The 22,086-nt window shown below is 40.4% G+C and overlaps 1 long non-coding RNA gene across 1 annotated transcript in view; it reads left to right on the forward strand.

Moving 5' to 3' along the window:
* Positions 1 to 22,086, forward strand: part of LOC105373454 (uncharacterized) — a 148,852-nt gene that overhangs the window by 90,526 nt on the left and 36,240 nt on the right. Inside the window, exon 5 of the long non-coding RNA XR_001739302.1 lies at positions 15,478 to 15,601. This is a non-coding gene — a long non-coding RNA (uncharacterized LOC105373454). The remainder of the gene's footprint in view (positions 1 to 15,477; positions 15,602 to 22,086) is intronic.

Here is a 22,086-nt window from a genome sequence, read left to right on the forward strand (position 1 = left end):
TATGAATGTGAAAACTTAAAATATTAACCACATGTAGAATATAGTAAATTTAGGACTATGCTTTAGTCATTTCTGTGCGCCCACGGCAACTGACACAGAACTTTGCAGGAAGCAGAGTCGGGAAATCATATGTTGGTTTGATCATGATGGTAATTATCATCATGATACAAATGATACAAAATAGTAAGGTGTTTTGTATCAAATAGGTTCTATATTTAGAAAGTTATATAAAGCTAGCTATCTTGCTGCTGCATTTGAATCTCAAAACCATAGAATAATAAAACATTTCAGTGCCCGACTATGAACCTATGGAGAGTGGAGGCTGTGTTTTATTCTTCTCTATATTCCTTGCCCTTATCACAAAACCTGGCCTGCAATATATGTTTAATGTTATTGTGCACTTTGTGCACATAAAGACCAATTAAGCATCCATTGTGAAACAGCAGGGCTGCCACTTATATGGCTGGAAAGACTGAGCATTGCACAATATCAGGGGTGCTATAAACATTCAATGCAATGTGGATTGTGCCCCCAAATTGGTACCTAACTATATTCTAGTGTCCTTTAGAGTCAAGTTTTTCCTCACTTAAGACCTGCAGTTTTGAGAAAAAAGATGAATAATAAACTCAATAACAAATCACATAGATTTAGACAGGAAAAACTTCAAAAAAGAAAATAGCATGGTGGCATCAAGAGTAATGGACAATGAGGGAGAGGAGATTCAGCTTCTGAAGTTTGGAAAAGCCTCCCTTGATAGGGTAAACTTGGAGCTGAGACCCAAATTACCAGGCAGAGACAAGGCTAGATTAGCTTATTTCATCCTCACAATAGCCCGATTAGGTCGATATTAGCTCTATTTTATATGTGAAGAGATCAAGGCCTTAAAGTAACAGAACTAGTAAGTGACCTGAATCGGTTCAACTCTAAAATTTTGTGTGTAAACATTGTGTCACACTGATTCTTGTAGGAGAAAGTGAAGAGAAGAAGTATTTATGCATATCATTTTTAATAAATATCTGGATGTAGGTGTACTGACCTATATACTGGGTACTTTGATACATTTTTATGAGATGTCTAGGCTGATATTCTTGACAGTACTGATGTCTGTCACAAAATTGTCTTAAGCAATTTAGATATTCTAAGTTTTTACATTTTCAAATAAGATGATCACTAAAAGCATAAGGCATATATAGATCTGATGAAGAGTCAGAAAATTCTGTTCCAGAAAATTCTGATCTGGTGCCACAGGTATCTGTGAGACCTCAGGCAAATTGCTTTCTATCTGAACTTCAGTTTCTCAATCTGTAGATGGGTATGATAATTGTCCTTCTTATTTTAGGACAATTGTAACACTGTAATGTCATAATAAATGTAATAATGTTTAAAAATATAAATATAAGTAATTTATACTGTATTAATTATTTTGATAATCATTAAATGTGGTACATATGTGCCATGGAATACTATGAAGCCATAAAAAGAATGAGATCGTGTCCTTTGCAGGCATGGATGGAGCTGAAAGCCATTATCCTTCACAAACTAATGCAGGAACAGAAAAACCAAACACTACATTTTCTCACTTGTAAGTGGGAGTTGAATGATGAGAACACATGTACACATGGTGGGGTAACAACATACACTGAGGCTTTTCAGCTGGGGATGTTAGGGGAGGGAGAGCATCAGGAAGAATGGCTGATGGATGCTGGGCTTAATACCTAGGTGATGGGATGATCTGTGCAGCAAACCACCATGGCACACGTTTACCTACGTAACAAACCTGCACAGCCTGCACATGTACCCCTGACCTTAAAAAAACTGTATTAAAGGTATTCTTCCTGTGATTAAAAAAAATGCCAGACTTCACATTCCTTTTCTTACTGAGACCAAGACCTTTTTGGGGTGGAAACTAAAAAAGTCGGAATGATAACAGCATAGCTAGGTCTACCTTCCAAAATTATGCAAAGTAACTTTGTAATTAAACTATCATTCACACACAAGTAACACTGTTGTCTTAATTATCCAAGTAATTGATCCTGGAATAGTTATTTTGTTCATAATTGTCCCATTTATGGGCCCAGTACAGATATGTTACGGGCCTTGCCTTGGAGGTAAATATCTTATCTCCATCAAGATATTGTCGTAGAAGAGAGTTTTGTATTGGATTTATTGAGACCCTAGGGTTTGCTTTTCTCATGCTTCTCCTCCAGAACTTCCTGCTATATGAACCACTACCATTTTTCATGCTCCTTAGAAAATACTGTATTATTAATGATACAAATCATAATAATTGTATTCTTTATGTTCATAGTGATTTCTCAGTATAAGAACAGCCTCCACAAGCCATTTTCTTCATTAATCTTTATCACAAATCAATGGCATAGATTTCAATCCTTAGTTTAGAGATTAAAAAAAGAGGCTCAGAGAGGCAAAATGAGGTAGTTCAGGTAGCATGGGTAGGATGGGTAGGGCAAAGCCTCAGACCCAAGGCTATCGTGTCCTTTGAATCCAGCACTCCTGCTGCCACACATATTAACGTTGAAAGAGTTGGATTTTAAACAAACATTATTACATTAATATCTTTAAGTATCTTAATTAGATCTTACAGGAAGGAAAATAAATTGTTTGGTCACCAAAACAGCCTGAGTACTCCAATTTGAAAGAGTGAGTCTGTTTCAGATCATAGATAGGGTGGTGACTCTGTTTGGCCACAAAACATCAATATAGACGGTGAACCACGAGTAGCAGGGGGACGCTTGGATAAAGCCCCTGGCCTGTGAGGAAATGTGACTGTACATGGTATGTGCACCCAACACCTACGGCAAATACTCCCACGGCCACCGGTGTTGGATTCAATTAAACATTAGATTCATCATCTTTAGCAAGGAAAGCGAACAGCAAACAGTTGCTCTCTCATGGCTAAACACCCCTCGGATTTGCTGGCCTTTGATTTATTGGAAGAAACCTGCTGGGAAGAACATACTGTGTAGCTGATTAATGTCAGCTTCTGTCATCAGTTTTCACTTAGATTCTTGGCCAGCCCTGACATCTCCTCCCTAAAGGATCCAGAAGAATTTGAGGGCTGATCCAAGAGCTTTACTGGCATGGGATTTGCAGAATGCGGTGTTTGCAAAATAAGGAAGATGAATGGAAGTGGAATCCCATGTTCTCCACTGGACTTGTTTCTTTAATTCATTTCTCCAGAGGCCCAGCTCCATGCCAGGACCACACCAGCAAGGGGACTGGGGAAAGTGTTCCCAGGCTCCAGTACAGATGTCTTGCATTTCCTGTGCTGCTTTATGTGCTGCTTCCTTAGAGCTCATCATACTGGAAAGGGGTCCAAGGAGGAATGCAGCACGCAATCACCATCAGAGCCTTCATTGGGATCCTTGCCCAAGCTTGTGGAAGAGCGGGCACCACGAGCATCAAGCTCAATCCACTGCCTGGCTGAGAACGAGAAGAGTCACTGCTCCCCAGGTTGGGCATACAAGCCTTGTGTTTCACAGGGTCACACAGCACAACTTTTTCTCCCATGCTCCACTATGACACAATGGCATTCGATTTAAAGCAAGCATAATTTTGTATATGTATTCTCCTTGTTTTTCCGGTAGAGGGAAAGTCCACTATTTGATTTCTTACAAGATAAAATGACATTTTTCCCTCCCACTAATGTACAAAGGACCTGGGAAGAGGTGGCCATTTTAACCAGACTGAAACTTCTCCTGAATTCTCTCCTGGAGGGAGAAATAAAAGAAAGAAATATTTCAATTGAGAAATAAAAATCTGTTCTGGTTATCTATTGATGTTTAACAAATCATCACAAAACCTAGTGATGTAAAATAATAGCACTCATTTTGTTATATCTCACAATTTCTGAGTCATATCTCACAGTTCTGAGGAATTTGAGAAAAGAGGGACTAGACAGTTCTGGCATAGGGTCTCTCCTGCAGTTGCGGTCAGGATCTAGAAAAGAAGGGTCTGTAGGAATGTCAGTTGAGGTTTGCTAGGCCTCTGTCCCTCTCTCTCTTCACATAGTTTCAGGGCCTTTACATATGGTCTCTCCACCAGGACTAATTTGGGCCTTCTCAGAGAATGGCGGCCTCTGGAAGGTCTAACTGCTTATATGGTGACCAAAGGTTTCAAGAGTGAGTATTCTCGCGAGTCCAATTATTGTGCTCCTTTTAATATGCTGGTATTTAAAGATCCACAAAGGCCTTTAAGATTATTTTTAAAGGCTTAGGTTTATTTCCTTATTCTTTTACCAATCAATTCTAAGGATCAGATAGGAGATTGTATCATATTACTTCTAAATTCCCATTTACATCTATTTGTTTAGAATTCTACGGGGTGTTGTTGAGCGATGTCTTATCCTTAAGCACGAGACTGTAATGATAACTTTATTGACGCTCACTGAAGTTTCAGGCACTGTTCTATCTTAGGTTGAATAATTTAATTATTGCAAATATGCTAGGAGTCAGTACTATTGTCATTTCCCTTTCACAGATGAGAAAACTGAGGCACAGTAAGGTTAACTGGCTTACTAAAAGTCATATAGTTGCAAGATTTGAACCCAGGCAGTCTAACTCAAGAGATCACTCTTTTAAGCACTGTGTTAGTCTGCCTCCTCCAAAGAAGCCACAGTCTAGTGGCTTTACACTTAAGTCAAAGAGAATTTTTTGCATGCTTTTTTTCTCCAATATGAACAAGGGATAAGACCCCTTAGACAAGCATCTGGCAATCTGACTAAAGAAACAAGCAGCATATCTCTATGGGGACCACAGGCAAAGGCTATAGAAGTTCATAAGAGGAGAGAGCTGGGAGAAAGCTGGGTGTCAGGAAAGGGGGCCTGGTGGAGTGAGAAACATAACTGGGCTCTTAAGAACAGATAGGGGTTAGAGCACCAGAAAGACTGAGTTGATATTTTAGGTGATGGGAGGAGCTTACCTTACCACATGGTCAATGATATTGTCAATTCCAGCACTGAAAGAAGGGATTCCTTTTCTAGCACTAACTGTACTGGCTTTCCTTGGGTCCTGGTGATTAGATAGATTGTCACCTTGAGGAGAAGAAGAGGACAGGATGTCTCATACATTTATAAGTCTGCCACTGATTTTCTGCCCTTATCCACACCTTCCAAAGACAGATGACCCTCTTTGCCAAACTTAGAGCCCAGCACTGGTTTGGAGATCAGAATAGGGCTAGAAATTATGAAAATGGAGACAGGAAACAAGAAGATCCTCATTGCCCTCAGATCCACAGGAGAGTCCTGGGGCTTAATGCTGCTGGTGCACGGTAAGCACCAGGAGGCAGGGAGCACATCTACCTTGCTCATCAAAGTGTTCCCAAGGTGGCATGTGGCCATGTTCAGTAAGTACTTGTTAAATGAGGAAATGAATAAATGAATTGCCAAATAACCAAACAAATGAGTTTGCATAGAGTGCACTTAAAAACTAACAACAGGTTTCTGGAGTATTTAGGGTGGAAATGGGATGCCCCCATCCTAAAAGGCAGTCTGAGGTGAGAAAGAGTCCTGTGTCCAGAGATAGGGCTTTTTCCTGGCTAGAAAACTCCATGCTTCCTTCTAGAGGAATTGAGTAAATTGTGTTGGGACATATACAAGATCAACCATTATAAAATTTACTACACTTAATTCTAAAACTTTCTTTTCCAGGCACTAGGATCTCAGGGGCAAATCTCTTTTGTGGTAAGCTGACCTCTAGAATTGTCACAATCATATAGCTACAGACACTTATATTTGAAGCATTCTTACACTTTATGAAGATCAACTAGATATAATGTCATCTTTGCCAGCAGGTGGCTACACTTGAATGACTCAATACACAAAACTTCATTACCCTTTGTAATAAATTGCTGTCTCCTCATAAAGTACTTACTGTATGGAAAGATTTCAGAAAAAGGAAACAAGTGATCTCCTGCTAAGAAGTATTAAAGCAAACTTTAGCCCCCTGAAAATAACTATGTAAAGTGCATTTGGATCCTGGATAGGAAACTAGTTTACCCCATGTAAATACAGAAGAATAGCCGCTAGGGTGTTGATGGTGGTGCTTGCTAAAGTGATAGAATAGTAATGATTCCATTTGTTTATTTTGACAGCTTCACTGACTGGGAAACCTGCTATTCTCCACACACCTCCATATTCCCATGATGAAGTTATGTCTCTGTCTTTTTTTTTACTGTACCTGGAATAATGTTGCCCATGCTATTCCTCCAGGCAGACAAAACCTTCCTTGCCCTTTGTACCATCCCATCCAAGGCCCATGAAGCCTTTCTAGATGCTCCCTGTCTGGATTAATCAGCCACCTGCATTGTTCCTGTGGTTCTTTATCAAGCCACTTTCTGCCTCTATTTCACTCTCCCTAAGGTTACACTAGGTTGTTTGCAGAACTGTGACATGGCAGAGAGCAAATGTGTTTGAATCAGGACTCCCAGATTTAAAGTCCAACCTGTACTCTCTCCTAACTGTTGAATTTTAGGGAAGTTACAGAGTCCTTATGGTCTCCATGTATTTCAGACACTTGTAATAATACCAATTCAGATGAGTTTATGGAGCTGCTGTAAGAAAATATATATGAAAAATGCTTTCAGACAGTAATGCTGACATGTGTGCATGTATGAGAGACAGTCGCTGCAAAATGTGCAACAAGAGCTGAAGTTTTATTCACACACTTATTGGATGACCTTGAACAAGCCTTCCCCTCTCTGGGCCTTGGTTTCTGAACCTAGACCAAGGGTTCCTAGCCTGGGATCCTCAGAGGGGCTTTAGGAGAGTCACGAAACCCCTGAGATTGCATCCACCGTTGTGCCTTCTGGTGCCTTTTTCTAGGTTCAGCAGTCACCGCTTTCATCAAATTCTCAAAGAGAACTGAGACTCAAGGGACGTTAGGAAACTTGAGCCAGATGCTCATGAGGTCCCCCACCCCATCCAGGTCTGACAGTTTATGTCCCTGGAAACTTTAGTCCAACATGTTCTTGTAAAAGGCACAGAAACACATTTTGCAAGACCAGAAAGGGACTATCACAGATGAGGAAACTGAATCCTGGAAGAGTGAGGTCAGGTGCCAGATGTTAGGAGTTGGCAGAGACTCTGCAAACCTAACAGAGCTCCAGTGAGAGGGGTAATCACAGAGTCACGGGTCATTTTCTCCTTAGATTTTAAAATCAGGGTGGAGTGGTCAATAGAAAACCCAGAAAAAAAAGTCTTGTTTTGTAAATAGAAATCATTTAATTAAAAAAAAAACTGGATTTGGATTATAATTTTGTAACGTCCTGCCTACAGGCACTGTGCTAGAAGCCAAGGACTCAGGGACACAAAGGCTGTAAAGGGCCCCTATGCTTCACTAATAAGGGAGACACCCTTGCTGTTAACTGACTATAAAATCAGGTGGAATTTAGAGGACCCAGAGTCAGATTTGGCTGGAAGTTCTATTTGATTATTAAGTGTTGAACTTAATGGATTGAGGAAGGCCTGCAGATGCCTTTTGCATATCATCATGGCATGCAGGTAGGGTCCATGATAGCAGGCCCCATGCTAGGTTGTATATATGATTCTATTTAATTCTTCTAATATTCTTGCAAAGTAGGTTTGTAATCCCTATTTAAAGTTGAGGAACTGGTGGCTCAGAGTAGAGTAACCTGCTTTTGATTACACAAAGAGGGAAACATATCTCAATGGTTTTACTTCTCCTCTCTGGCCTGATGCCTCAAGGGCCTCCTTCCTTATCCATCCTGCTCTCTTCCTGTTGCCCAACACAACTGCCCTGTGATTCCATCCTGGGAAAGGCATTGGGGCTCAAGTCTCTGCAGCTCCTGATAACATTGGACACTGATACTGCTCTAGAAGTAGACTTCAGAAAAAAAAGGTGCCAGCCTAATCTGGGTGTGAGCCAGCCTGATAATGTCTGTACCTGGGCTCACATTTGCAGCTGATTTTTAGATGAGGAAAGAAAAATACCTTCAGAGTTACAGAAGCAAATGAAGGTGGGGATGTCCCATGGTCATCTCACCTGCTTCTTGGCTGGAGTAGCGATCTCGGTGCAAGTCCTTGCTCCCTAATGAAACTATGGAGCTCAGCTTACACTGCAGCACAGACCTGAGGCTGGGCTATCCTACAGCAGCCCTATCTGAAAGCAAAAGAGTGGATTCTCCACCACCTGTCCACCTCAGCCTTGTCTGAGGCCTGGAGATGGGGGGAAAGAACAGGCCTCTGACTTCAAGGATCCCACTCTATAGCTGAAGAGACAGAGGTGTCAACATGTAAATGTGAAGTCATATAAATGCCTTGACTGCCCGGTGAAGACAATGGAAAACCCAAACTCCTTCACTGGGCAGTCAACACTTTCTACAATCTGGCTTCCCAGATTTTTCAACCCACTTTTTTAACCCAGCCACTTGTTCTTTCCTCCACATACAATCTGCTACACCTGGTTGAACTGCTTGCCATCCCTCAGCAAACTTCGCCTTTGCTCATGTGCCATTCTCTCCTCTGTCATAGCTCTGTTCCCATTCCCTTCCATCTCTCATTTGTAAATCACTGCACAGAACAAGCTTAATGTGTGCCTTTTACAAGGGGTTGCCAGAGCCACGCAGAGAGCCTCAGCACTGAGCCCTCCTTCCCCAGGTTTCCCTGAGACAGACCGAGAGACAGCCTAAGGCTGCAGACCCATGTCCTCTTGCTGCCTCATGGATTGGCTGAGCATGAAGGCTGAGGCTCAGTGACACCTACAAAAGCCTGCTCATTGAACCATGACAGAACTGCGCAGAGCAGATAGGAGAGGCATCCAGGTCAGCAGTAGAGCTGGGAAGAGGTGCCAACTGCCAGTGCAGGGTTCTGTCCCCTTCCGTTGATGCTCTGACCATCCCCATGTGCCTGGTAGTGGGGTAAACTTTGGGAATTAGATTGGTTTCTCTTGCTAATCAGTGATCTTGTTTGCCAGAACTGACAGAATATTCCATTTGGGTTGACTCAAATTGTTGTTAAAAGCTCTATGGAATGCCTCAAATGCTCTTTAGGTCTCTGGATAGAAGTGATGCTAGGCCTAGCTGGAACTAGAGCACAGCCTCCCAGCTATCTCCCAGAGTCTGTCTTGAAGCAGCAGACAAAGCAGTATAGAGGCTGTCAAAGGGTATAGCTAAGAAGGTGCCATCTTTCTACCCCTCACATTAACCCTTTGTTCTGCTGCTCATGAGTAATTTTGCCTCAGTATCCCCAAATATCTGAATCAGGGGATACAGAATTGCATTAGACACATTTTAAATCCTGAAATACCCTTGTAACCTGAAATGGAAACTATGAGAAGTAATTAGTTATTCTGACATCAATATTCCAATGTCCAATTTTCTCATTAAAACCAGAGAATGGACAATTTTAAAGAGATTATTTCCCTCAAAAGATGGTAATCTGCAGTTTAATATTACACTATCATTTCTTGAAGTCAGTGGTTACAACAGCTGCTCGGAGAAGTTATTAATTTCCTGCAGTAGGCTGTGATTGGGAACTCACTGTCCAGAATGTCATTATTTTTTTAAGATGTACATTCTGCACAGACCTATTGGCTAGAAATTCAAGCGCGTTGTAAATGGTAGTGCTTTGTGACAGGCGATGTTGAAGAGGAGTGATTTAGTAGGGCTAGATTTTCTGGCATTGCAGAAACACATGGAAATCGATCAGAGCTCAAGTTGAAGTGCGCACAGTAAAATGCATAATGCGTTCTAGGTCCAGTATTAGCCTGGTCTCCTTCTTTGCTAACTTTGTTCTATTATACCTGGAAGGTGATAGACATGAGAGTTAGGGGCACATTGAGTGTCTGCATCCTACTAATCTACTCCAAGGGTAGCCCCTATTTTTTTGTCTCAGTGAGGCAGGATAATTTAGCCTTGGCAATGTTGACATTTGGGGCCAGACTATATTTTATTATGGAGGGCTGTTCTGTGTGGTCACATGCAGCATCCCTGGCCTCTATTTGCTAAATGACACTAGCACATTCTGATTGTGACAACCAAAAATATCTCCAGACTTTACTGAATATTCCCTAGGGGCTGGGGGGTAGGGTCAAAATTGCCCCTCTTTGAGAACAGCTGCAGTACGGCAGACCTGTGTCTATTTAACCAGAGCTCCTTCCAGAGACAGGGGATGGGCCAGTGACTTCCCACCTGTGTTCCAGCTCTAACATCCAAAGTGGCTAAAGTACATGCATTTCATTGTTTATTCATTTCAGTTCCAAGCTGATTTCCAAATAAAAAAATGAAAAATTGCTCTATGCCTTTCCTTTTGGCAATTCACACTGAGTAATGGACAATTTTTAAACTTCCTAATAACTTATGGGAACAAGAATATGTACAAAACTTCATTCCTACAGAGTGACTATTTGGCCTTAATAGGATAATGTTTAACAATCTGCCTGAAAGTGTGCTGTTAAGTAGTGAAACAGATACTGGGACACAATTACCTTTGACATGGCTATAAAATAAGCCATTGAAACCATTTTCTCTGGATACCTTTACCCTGATATTTAATTCTTCCATCCCTTCCAACTCCACACAGTACCCCTGAGCCTGAAAAGAAAAAGTTCAATCAAAAGCCATTCCCTCAACAGAAAAGCATCTAGGTATTCCCTCACCATGACCTTAACCATGATTCTCTTTTGCCTCCCACTGAGCTCTAAATGAACTGTCTGAATATGAACTTCAGATTTGGACAGACCCGGTTTCTAGTTTAACAGCTCTGCCATTCATAAGGGGTGTGTCTTTCAGCAAGACACTTCTAGGTCTCAGTTTCCTTCTCTCTAAATTGGGTTGGCAATGCCTACTTCCCAGAGGAATTAATAAAATGATAAATGAAGGAACACCAAGCATGTGTCTGGTACACACATAGACACAGACACAGACACAGACACACACACACACACACACACACACACACGCTCAATGTTTGTCTTATTCAAGGGGTGGTCAGACCAGTATAGTATAGACCATGTCTATGGGGCCTTTCCTTCAGTGTGTCTAGCCAAGTTTTTTGGGATGCCAGTGCCCACCTTTTTACCACGCTACTTTACTTAGTCTGTGCTTAGACACTTTCACCCCAGGGCTTCATTTAGAAGAACAAGATTGTCTAGTTGGGTCCCCCTTGAGGTAATCCCAAATAGGTGGAGGAAGCGTTCTGGGCCATGTGAGGCCTTACCTGCCGGGTGGCCAGGTTAAGTGGACATTTAGAGGCTAGTGTTTATTTTGTGGACAATGGTAATGCTTAGGAAGCTAAGGCCAAAAGCTTCCCTGTGTGAAAATGGCCAAAATGTTGCTCACTTTTAGCCTCCTTTGCCATATAATGGCCTTTAACATCTCCATAAATATTTTCACAAGGTGATGCAGTTTAGGAGAAAGCCTACTGTGTTAGGAGCCTAAAGATTCTTTCCAGTCCCTTACCAGCTATGTGTCCCTGAGCGAGTGACTTAATCTCAATGATTCTAAGCTTCTCTATCATTCTGTTCCGATGATACCCACAGGGTGAGCAGGAAAGATAAATTATTTTCTTTCCTGTTCACCCTGTGGGTGTCATCGAAACAGAAATAGCTACTGCACAAAGAAAGTACTTTAAAAATTACAAATTAATAGATATAAGTGTAGTTGTTTTTATGAACATAACACATAGATAAACTGAATAAATTCAGTTGTTAAATGTGTTCAAAATTGTATTGAATTTGAATTTTATAAATCTCCCAGAAATGGATAAAAAGGCCTTAAATACCAATCTTCCAAGAATTCACAAAACAAAATATCCTATGCTTTTTCCAAAAATAGAAAAAATAAACTTCCCACCCTGTTTAATCTGTTTTTAAAAGCAGATTCAATAGAAAATGAAAAAAGTATATTTCCATCCATGCAGCCCTAGAGACAGAACAAGACTATAGGATCAAGGAGAAAATTTAAGTCTTTATCTCTATAGAGATGAAACTCACCATACCAATAGAATATCCAGTTTTACTCCTTCCATTCCTTCAAGGACCAAAATAATAATCTATCAGCATAGAAAGCTAAGGATTCTTCATAGAAATCTGTGTGCTCATTCCTGGGCTAGGCTATGCTGTAAGCCACACTCTGGACAAGACAACCAAGAGCCCAGTGTTCATAATATATGGGCTGATGGGCGCAGGGACTATTTCAAGTGCATCCCAAGATGCAACAATAGATGGCTACTTTGGCCAAATAAACCCTGACCAGAGGAAGAAAAAAACTGGGGAGACAAGTAACAAGCCGAAAATGAAAACGTTTAATAGATGACCAAGATGTTCAGTTCTAGGGGTTGCAGGGCCTATAAAAGGTCCTTCCCCACATTCTAGTTGCTGGGAAAGGCTCAAGAGGTATCTGTCTTACAGCCTTTAGGAGATTTGAGAGAGACCACGTTCATAACGGCACTCTGTAAACTTCTTTAAAAATGTCATTTGTTATTATTCATATAAACTGCATTTTAAATGATTAATTAGGCAAAGTATATTTAGGCTTGAAAGTCATTCTCAACCACATAAGCATTTTTCAGGTGTTCTCCGTGCAGTATGTGGAGTATGCCCAGGAAGGCCGCGCCACACACTTCCTGTGCTCACTCCCATCTTAGCCTGTTTAGCCTGTAGTAACCCTGTACACAAAGATGCAGTCAGAAATCCACTGTTAGATCGGAGTGAATGGCCAAGTTGATTGGTTTATGGGCTGCATACGCTTGCTACCAGAACCTAACTGAATAGTTAACTAGCTTCCCTTGGCCTAGTATCCATCTAGAGGAGAACCAGCAGAGATTTTTTTTTTTTTTTTTTTTTGAGACGGAGTCTTGCTCTGTCACCCAGGCTGGAGTGCAATGGCGCCATCTCGGCTCACTGCAAGCTCCGCCTCCCAGGTTCACGCCATTCTCCTGCCTCAGCCTCCCGGGTAGCTGGGACTGCAGGCGCCCACCACCACACCTGGCTATTTTTTTTTTGTTTTGTATTTTTAGTAGAGACGGGGTTTCATCGTGTTAGCCAGGATGGTCTCGATCTCCTGACCTCGTGATCCACCTGCCTCAGCCTCCCAAAGTGCTGGGATTACAGGCATGAGCCACCGCACCCAGCCACCAGCAGAGACTTTTAACTTGGGACACTATGAAGACGACAAAAGCACTGAGAAGAACTGAGCCCTCGTCCTACGTGAGACTGGGCATAACTCAGAAATTTGAATGGTCGTGATATGTGCACTTGATTTCAAGTAAAACACCAGGAATTTTAATACAAGGTTTGAAATCCTGCTTATTTTAATTGTTGAGGGAGCCCCTAGCTAGAGTCGGAGGTACTAGAACATGTCTGTTTTGGATTTCCCTTACTTGTCTTAGGTTCTGTTCTCCATCTGCCATCTTACTTTATTATTTCCTTGTTATTATACACAGAAAATCTTAAGCTTTTACCCATGGAATTACCTTTCTTCCCTACGAACTGTCTTTATAGATTGATTTACGTAGAGATGTGCTTCCTTCAAACAGTTCTATACAAAGTCACTGTTCTCTTTTTCCAGTTAGCCTCAGAATGGCTTCTTTTTATTTACATAGTTCTACAACTTCCTCTCAAAGCTCAGCAGTTTGCCCCATAACTTGGGACTTTCTCTCTCTCTGTCTCTCTCTCTCTCTTCTATTCCTTACTCTCTCTCTTTTTCTCTTCCATTCCTTACTCTTTCTTTTTTAAATTTGGTGAACAGTTTTAAGATGCAGAAAATGTCAATCATCCAAGTATTCAGTAATCAGAATTAATCAGTGTTAATCCTATAATTGCTTTTGAGATTTTTTTAATAAAAGAAAAATAGTAAGTTACATGAAAACTTAAATTTATACCTTTCTAACCAACTCTAAAATTAATATCTCATTCTCTTCCCAAATAAGACAAGAACCTTGGAAAGCTTTAATTTCCCTCTCAATTTCCTCCTCTCATCCTCTGTGTTTTGATTGCCTTGTAATTAAATCACACTCTGACGTTAACTTCCCCAAATATTTTTGATATTTGTGGTCGATATGATTTTGACATACCACCATATTTTACCATCATCTTTTCTCATATTACTTCTTGTTGGATCTCATTCCTTCTGGGTTTATTTTTCTTCTTGTGTTAAGTACATGATTTAGTATTCCTTTCAGAAAAAATTTGTTAGTAGTAAACTTGGTCTTTATTTCAGGGGTTCCTGTTTAACCATTTAATTCCTTTTCACTTTCACGTGTGTGAGGTCAGCTCACATGCCTGGCCCCAGCACAGTCTGGGCACATTTCCGAGTGCTTTTCTGTGAGCCCCAAAGTTGAAGTAGTACTCATCAAAGACCATTGATGATTAACTATCCCTGTGGCTACTTCTTCAAGTTTTGTCTTAAGGATTTATTGCTTAATTAGAATTAGATCTCCTTTGATTCCAATAACAGGTTAGGCAATATATTTAAAAAGGAATAAAATCACATTATATTACCAAAAGAGCCCCAATAAGTGTCGAAGTATCTCAGTGAGGTTCTCAGACCTCCCCTGGGTTTCTGCCCCTAAAAGGCTAGCCCAGGACATTCTGCTCCTCCTGCATCTCCACTGCCCTCATCTCTCTCCCTCCTGTTACTGCTCGCTTCTGGACAACTCCCTGTCCCGAGGGATGCTGATCATTTGGGTTAGTTTGTCTCTTCCTTCTGCTGTCCTTGGAAAGCCTCTTCCCTCTGCTAGAAGTTGCAGGGATCAATTGTTCTTTGGCAGAGGAAGAGACTTGATGACAATGAAGAGAGTTTCCATTTCTTCTTCCTGCAGCTGCTGACCTGGGTGAGCAAGCCAGACTGTGCGCTGACTTACAGGAGAGGAAGGAGCCTGTAAGCCCTGGAAACTCAATAGAATAACTCCCCCAATCACCTGAGTCAAAAAAGACAGAGGCCAGGGATGCCTTCTTCCGAGCAGGTCCACCTGATGGAAAAAGACAAAGTGTCTTCCCACATGTATGGATGTTATACAGCACAATTCTATATGTCTATATATGAGTGTGGAGATGTTAGCCCATTTACTAATAAGCCAATCAATCTGTAAATTTTTCAGGGAGAGCTGATGACATGTAGAGGAAAGTGTAACTCTTAATTAAAACTTCAGTAAATTTGAAAGGAAGAAAATATAAGCTGTTTATTAATTTTATTGCCAACAATTTTGTTTTCCTATTTATCAAAATTTTTCACGTTTCCCCCAAGCATTTAAGAAGAAATTGAAGAGTGTTGCAAGATGTCTTCTTTCCTAGGTACTTTGTTGATTGTTCTTTCTTTCAAACAGTAACTGTAGTCCCAGCTGAGGCAAATTAAAATGAAATTTTCCGGACATGTGCTGTGACAGACAAGAAATTCAGTTAGAGTGAGTCTCCTGTGAAGGGAGAGGTTGTCACGTCACCTCTTTCTTGATTCCCAAGTACTTCTTTCTGCCTCTTCTCTTCTCACTGTGTTTTTTTCCAGAACATTCTGGATAAAAGGTATGGGAGAGTATGTGACCCAGTGTACTTTCAATTAAGTGGTGAAGTACAAACAATGAGAGGTGCCTCCAGCAGCTCCCTGGACTCCTTCTCCCCAAGGGGAAAAGGTGGGTAAGACTAATACGGAAAACTGGAAAGGAAAGAAAATCTTAAACATAAGTATCACTTCTCAATTGCAGTTAATTTTCTTTTTCCCACTTCTCTCTCATAAACACATACATATTCACTTAAAGCAGTCTTATATTTCAGAAGTGAAGATTTTTTTTAAGAAGCAGAGCTTAAAAATGTAAAATTCAGTTACCTCTGTCCTGACTGTTGTGCAGCTATTGGTGAGTCATTGTTCTAAAAAATAAAAAAAAAAGAGGGTGAGAATCTCAATGATTAATGAAATATTTCAAGACTGGCACGGGGCCTCACCCAGATGCTAATAAAATTTTCCACCTACGTCTTGGTTTTAGAATGAAAACAGTAGAGAAAGATGAAAAAATCCAATGCATGCAGATTTTTTAAAGCTCACTGCTTTTGAACATATTAAGGGTCTATGTAGTCATTATGGTGATTGCCATTATTCATTTGACTATTTTTCAATTATTAAATCAAACTTTTCTTTTTGAACTTGGATTTGACCTCCTTACTCACTTACTCATTTACTCCTAAATCACAAAACACCACTGCCCTTGGAAATATCCTGTCTCTGCAACTGGACCTCTCTCATGGGCTCCAGGCATGGCAAGGTTCTCTAGATCGTAGTTACAACTTCAATTTCTTATTGTGAGTGAGATACCAAATTACATAGACCTTATAGAGGAGGAGTTGCCTTCACTGTGTGGCAATAAGAATCCTAGAGACTATGCTTACTTCCCAGCTGGTGATCAGACATTTGAACAAGGTGGCAGAGATGGACTTTCCAACCATCTCACGTTCTCTTTTGGTCCCCTACTCCTGTCTTCCTACTACACCCATCCTAACCCCCAAACAATATGTTCCTGTTTCTTATTTTCCTGGGGAAACCAATGCTTCTCTACAAATCAACAAATTCTCTTTTGCCTTTAACAGAAATTTACTTCATCTGTACAATAAAAATCTACTCTTCCATTTTTCCTGAGCAGGGAACTAGTTCAATTACATCTCTCATATTCCCTTGTGCTAGAAGTGACCATGTGACTAAGCCCCAGCCAATAAAAGTATGAGTGCCACTTCCAGCTGTGGCCCATTAAAACCTCTCATTTTTCTTCCTCCATGCCTTTTAATCTTTAAAGCTAATTGGAGTCACCACATCCGCCCCACCATGGTAACTTTGTAAGCACCACGTTGACGGTTGCAGAGCTGCTATCATCCTAAAGTTCTTGAAAGACCCCATGGAGCAGAGTCACTTTCCTCACCACTGACATACCTGAAACCATTAACTTATTTAGAAATAAACTCCTATCATATTGAATGATACATATATAAACTTTTTTTGTTACTTTAGCCTAGTCTACGTAAAAAGATTTATGTATGCTTTAGAGCTTCCTTCAGATAAATGTGTTTATTATTATTATTTCATCTGAAAGCTTTTCAGATACACTAAAGCTAATACTAGCTATCTAGTGGTAGGCTCTGATAGTTGGTAAAAGAGACACCCTGGGCTTGACAGTTTGTGCCCATCAAGAAGCAAGTAAAATACCAACCACACAGATAGCACATCTAGTGTTCAATTCACAGCAACTCATAACTTCCATTCATGATTGAATCAGCTGAAAATTAGGAGAGTTCACTAATTTGCTTCAACTGAGCCATCGGAATGGCATATGGCAGTTGCTTTTCAATGGCTAGTTATTCAGCTTCAAGGGAATATTCCAGAGAAGTATTAAGTGAAAGCCCAATATCCAAATCATTTATCATGGATCGGTTCTTGCCGAAGTATTGAGAGGAATTCTGCAGCTTTTCTAGGGCAAGTGTGCCTGACAACCCACCAAAACACCCTCAGAGAGACCTGGGGATGGAACCTTGTGGGAACAGCCTTGTCATTTAGAAGGAACCTAAGTTTCAAAGCCAGACAAATGTTGCTTCACTCATGCTATCAGTCAGTTAGTGAAGGCATCTTGATTAACCTTGGCATAAGCAGAAGGAGAATTCACTGACTTCTGCAAATGTAGATTGAATCCAGGGTCTGTGCTGGCTTCAGGTGTGTCTTGATACAGGAATGTACTGCCAGTGTTTTGTAGGTCTTGTCTGGTGATGGGGCCTTATTTGAAAACATCATTCTCTAATTCCCTTTATGAGGGGCAGGGTTCATGGTTCTGGTGTCCAGGAACCTGGGCACAGCACCAGTGTGTGCCCTTATGCCCAGAGATATAAGAGAGGCACCTCTGATGGTGTTGGGAGCACTGTCCTGTGGGTTTCCTGCCAGGTTACAGACATATTCAGAACTGGATCACCACATTCAAATGGGGACAGTGAAATATAAATGCCAATACACCAGGGCAAATAAGCAAGGAATTGAGGGGAGCTCATGAGGAGACCAAGAGAGTTGGGTGGGAAGGTAAAGTCAAGAAGGATGAGGTTCCTGAGGGTGCTAAGCCAGGTCCTGGGAAATTGCTGCAGAACTAGAGTTTGTTTTACGCTTTCTCATAGAGAGATAACTTTTTTTAAGGTAGTAACCATTTGTCTGACAAACTTCATTGGATTGAAGAATTTCATTTTACTCTTGTTAGTGCAAGATCAAATTTAATCAAGCCACCTCTTCCTTTCTCCTTTCCCCTTCCTATTTCTCTCCTTTTCTCCTTTCCTTTCTTTTTGCCCCTCTTTTATTTCCTTCCTTCCTTCCGCCCTCCCTCCCTCCCTTATTCCTTTCTTTCTTTCATTTTTAACCTCTTCCTTCCTTACATTCTCCTTCCCTCCCCCTCCCTTTTTTCCTTCCTCTCTTTTCTCCTTCCTTCCTTCCTTCTTTCCTTCCTTCCTTCCTCCCCTTCCCCTTGCCTCCTTTATTGAGCTCAAACTATATAATAGGCATTACATGCAAAGTGCTGTGGTTAAAGAATAAAAAAGACTCACTCCCTGTCCCCAAGGGGTTCACAGTCTCATGGGGAAGAGGACATGAAAGTAGACAGACAATAATACAGTACGGTAAGTTGCGAGGAACAGGGTGGGCAGGAAGGAAAGAGAAAAGATATCTAGATCCGACTTCAGGCAAGTCTTTCTATTCTTTACTCATGTCTCTCCATTTTCAATATCAGCCTCCCTCTGGTTCTGGGTGTTCTGTAACTCTGACATGGACCAGAAAAAAATGAGAATCCTGAAATTAATATAGCCCTTATGGAAACCTCCACTTAAAAAAAAAAAAAAAAACTTTAAAGAATCCAGCCCCTGAAATGTTTTGCACTAGAACCCGAACCCCTGCTCAGCTCCTTGGAAGAGGGTGGCTCTCCCACTCAGAATCGTGTCTGTTTGAGTTTGGTAACACAGAGCCAAGGTCAGTCTGGTGTTTCTCACTTTACAAATTCTCATCTGTCAAGAGATGCTGAAGGCACCACTCAAACTCAATTGTACCCTAAGGCCATCAACATTTAAAAGCTAGCCATTGTTTACCAAGTTCTGTCAACCAGAATGGGGGTATTTCTTGCATTTATTTGTTTGAAGAAAAAGTTACTTTGCTCTCCCTGCCACCTACCCAGCAAAAAAAGGAGAAAGTGTTTAAACAAACACATTTAGCAAAATAGTCCTGTTCCTTTGGTTGAGGGAGGGCATGCTCTCTACATCACGGTACATAAAATTGAGTTTGTCAATAGAATGAATAAACTACAAACATGGATAGCTGCTTTAGCCTAACACATATGCTTTAAAACCGTCTTTGCAAATAGTCTATAACGACTTTAAGCTGTTTAAATGATGCTTTTTAAATTATAAAATAATTTCTCTAAGGTATTTTATCTTCCATAATCCTTACCACAACCCTGTGAGATGAATATAATTATTTGCATTTTGCTGGTAATAAATATGGTGTTCAGAGGTTCTTAAAAACTGTCCATGGTTACATACTGAGAAAATCAGTTGAATGAGATTGAATTTAAGGTAGTTTAACTCCATGCATTTTATGCTAATCCAGTCGTTTAGTTACAATCCCTTTTTCCCGAACGTTTAGACAGACAGGGACATCTGGAGAGGCAGTATGAGTGTAAGGACAAAAGGGTCAAATGCAGATGGGGGACACTTGGAGTCTCAACTTTCCTCCATGCTCACTCACGTGTGGCCTTTGTAACTGAGTTGTCCAAAAATAAGATACACTTTGATTAGAATTGCAGTGCACAGCATAGTCTGCATATAACTGTATTAGTCCCCTTTCACACTGCTATAAAGAACTACCTGAGAGTAGGTAATTTAGGAAGAAAAGAGGTTTAATTGACTCATAGTTCCCCAAGGCCGGGAGGCCTCAGGACACTTACTTACAATCATGGCAGAAGGTGATGGGGAAGCAAGGCACATCTTTCGTGACAGCAGGAGAGAGAGAGAGCGCATGAAGGGGGAACTGCCAAACACTTTTAAACCATCAGATCTTCTGAGAACTCATGGTCATGAGAAAAGCAAGGGGGAAACTCCCCCCATGATCAATTCACCTCTCACCAGGTCTCTCCTTCAACATGTGGGGATTACAATTCAATACGAAATTTGGGTGGGGACACAGAGCCAAACCTTATCAATAACCAATGCAAGTATCACCACAAAGAAGAAAACTGAACCATCAGAAAACACAGGAAGGATAGCACAGCAAAGACCAGCTTTGATTTCTAAAGATGATGAGGGCACACTGTTAGGTGCCAGTTTCCAAAGGGCTCCAGCCAGCTTCTCCTACATATTCCATAGAATGCAGGAATATATATATATATATATATATGTATTTTTTTTTTTTTACTATTTGGAATATAGACACCCTTCATGGAAGCCCCCAAACCTCCACCCTCCAACTCTCTGCATGCAGTTCTGCATCTTAAAGTAAAAACAGAAATGTTAAAACCTCAACAGATTATTTTAATTTGGGTTTCTGAAACTCAGCACTATTGACATTTGGGGACTGGATAATTCTTTGTTGTGGAGGCTGACCTGCTGACCTGTGCATTGTAGGATGTTTGGCATCCCTGGCTTCTACCCACTAGATTCCAGTAGTACCTCCAATTGTGACAACCAAAAATGTCTCCAGATATCACCAAATGTTCCCCTGGGTGAAAATCTCCCCCTGTTGAGAACTACTGCTTTAATGATTCTCAAAAAGGACATTTCTTTGCTTCTCTTAATGATCTGGAAGATATTAAAAGCATCACCTACTTTAGCCTTTGTTCAGGAGGCAGATTTTTTATTCTTTACAGCTTTCATGGGCTCCCTTTCCTCTTTTAGAATAATCAATAAATAGTTAAATGATTTAATGGTTAGAGAATGTCAAGGTTGTTTTCATCTGCAACCCTCGAGAAAATATGTTATGACCATAGACTATGAGGCAGACATATATGAATGTGAATCCTCATATTGTAATTGTGTGATCTTGAAATTAACCTCCCTAGATATCCATAACCTTATCTAACCCTATCAAGAGCTGTTGCAAGAATTAAATGAAGCCATATGCATATAGGCACATATAGGATTGCTAGACTTAGCAAATGAAAATATAGGAACTCCATTAAATTTGAATTTAAGATAAATAACATATATATGTATGTGTGTATATATATAATTATATCTCATGCAATATTTAGTAACCTTAGTCATATATTAGTATTCAGTATTACGTATTATTACTGTGAACCTAAAACTAAAAAATGTCAGTTGAGAAAACCATAGGCCGTTCCTCTTTAAAACAAATGTATGTTTAAACCAGCTAGGACAAAGGGCCATTTGAGATCTTCCTAAAGAGGCAGTAATAAATACTTCAAATATTTACAGGCTGTTATTCTTTGTTTGATTTTCTTCTCATTATTCAGAAGTTCTACTGTTCAACTAACATAGCTTTTACTTTATTTTGTCTCTTCATTATTGCACACCTCCATATGGATAAATAATCAGGAAACAACCTTTCAAATAATTTGAGATATTAATAAATTAAAGTTCAGGTAGGGAGTCAAAAAGAGTGGTGCTAAAATCCTCATCTGTCACTTACTGACAGGATGAGCTCACAAGAGTTTCATCACCTCTCTGATCTCAGTTTCCTCATCAGTGGAATAATATTACCTACTCAACACAGCTGCTGGAAGGGTAGAATAAGGTCATGTGTTTAAAAAGAAGTTAGTAAATAATACATGTGAGCTAGCTTCCTTTCCTTCTTTGCTTTCCTTTCCTTCCTTTGCCCACCCTAAGTTAAATAACTTTGATTTTGCTAACCTTTTTTTTTTAAAGACATAGTTGGCTACAAATAAAGGATAGAATAAGTGGAAAATCATAACTTCCTAGTTAAAAAATAATTAGGGGGACTTGACAGCTTGTTAATCAATTTTCCAACAAAAGAATGTGGGCTTTGGAGTCTGTCAGATCTGGTTTAAATCTTGTTTCATCCACTTACTAACTGGTTAGCCTTTGGCAATTTGTTAAGCTTTTCTAAGCTTATTTTATTCTTTGATGATATCCA

The sequence above is a fragment of the Homo sapiens genome, chromosome 2 (assembly GCF_000001405.40).
Source record: "Homo sapiens chromosome 2, GRCh38.p14 Primary Assembly".
Classification (NCBI taxonomy): domain Eukaryota; kingdom Metazoa; phylum Chordata; class Mammalia; order Primates; family Hominidae; genus Homo; species Homo sapiens.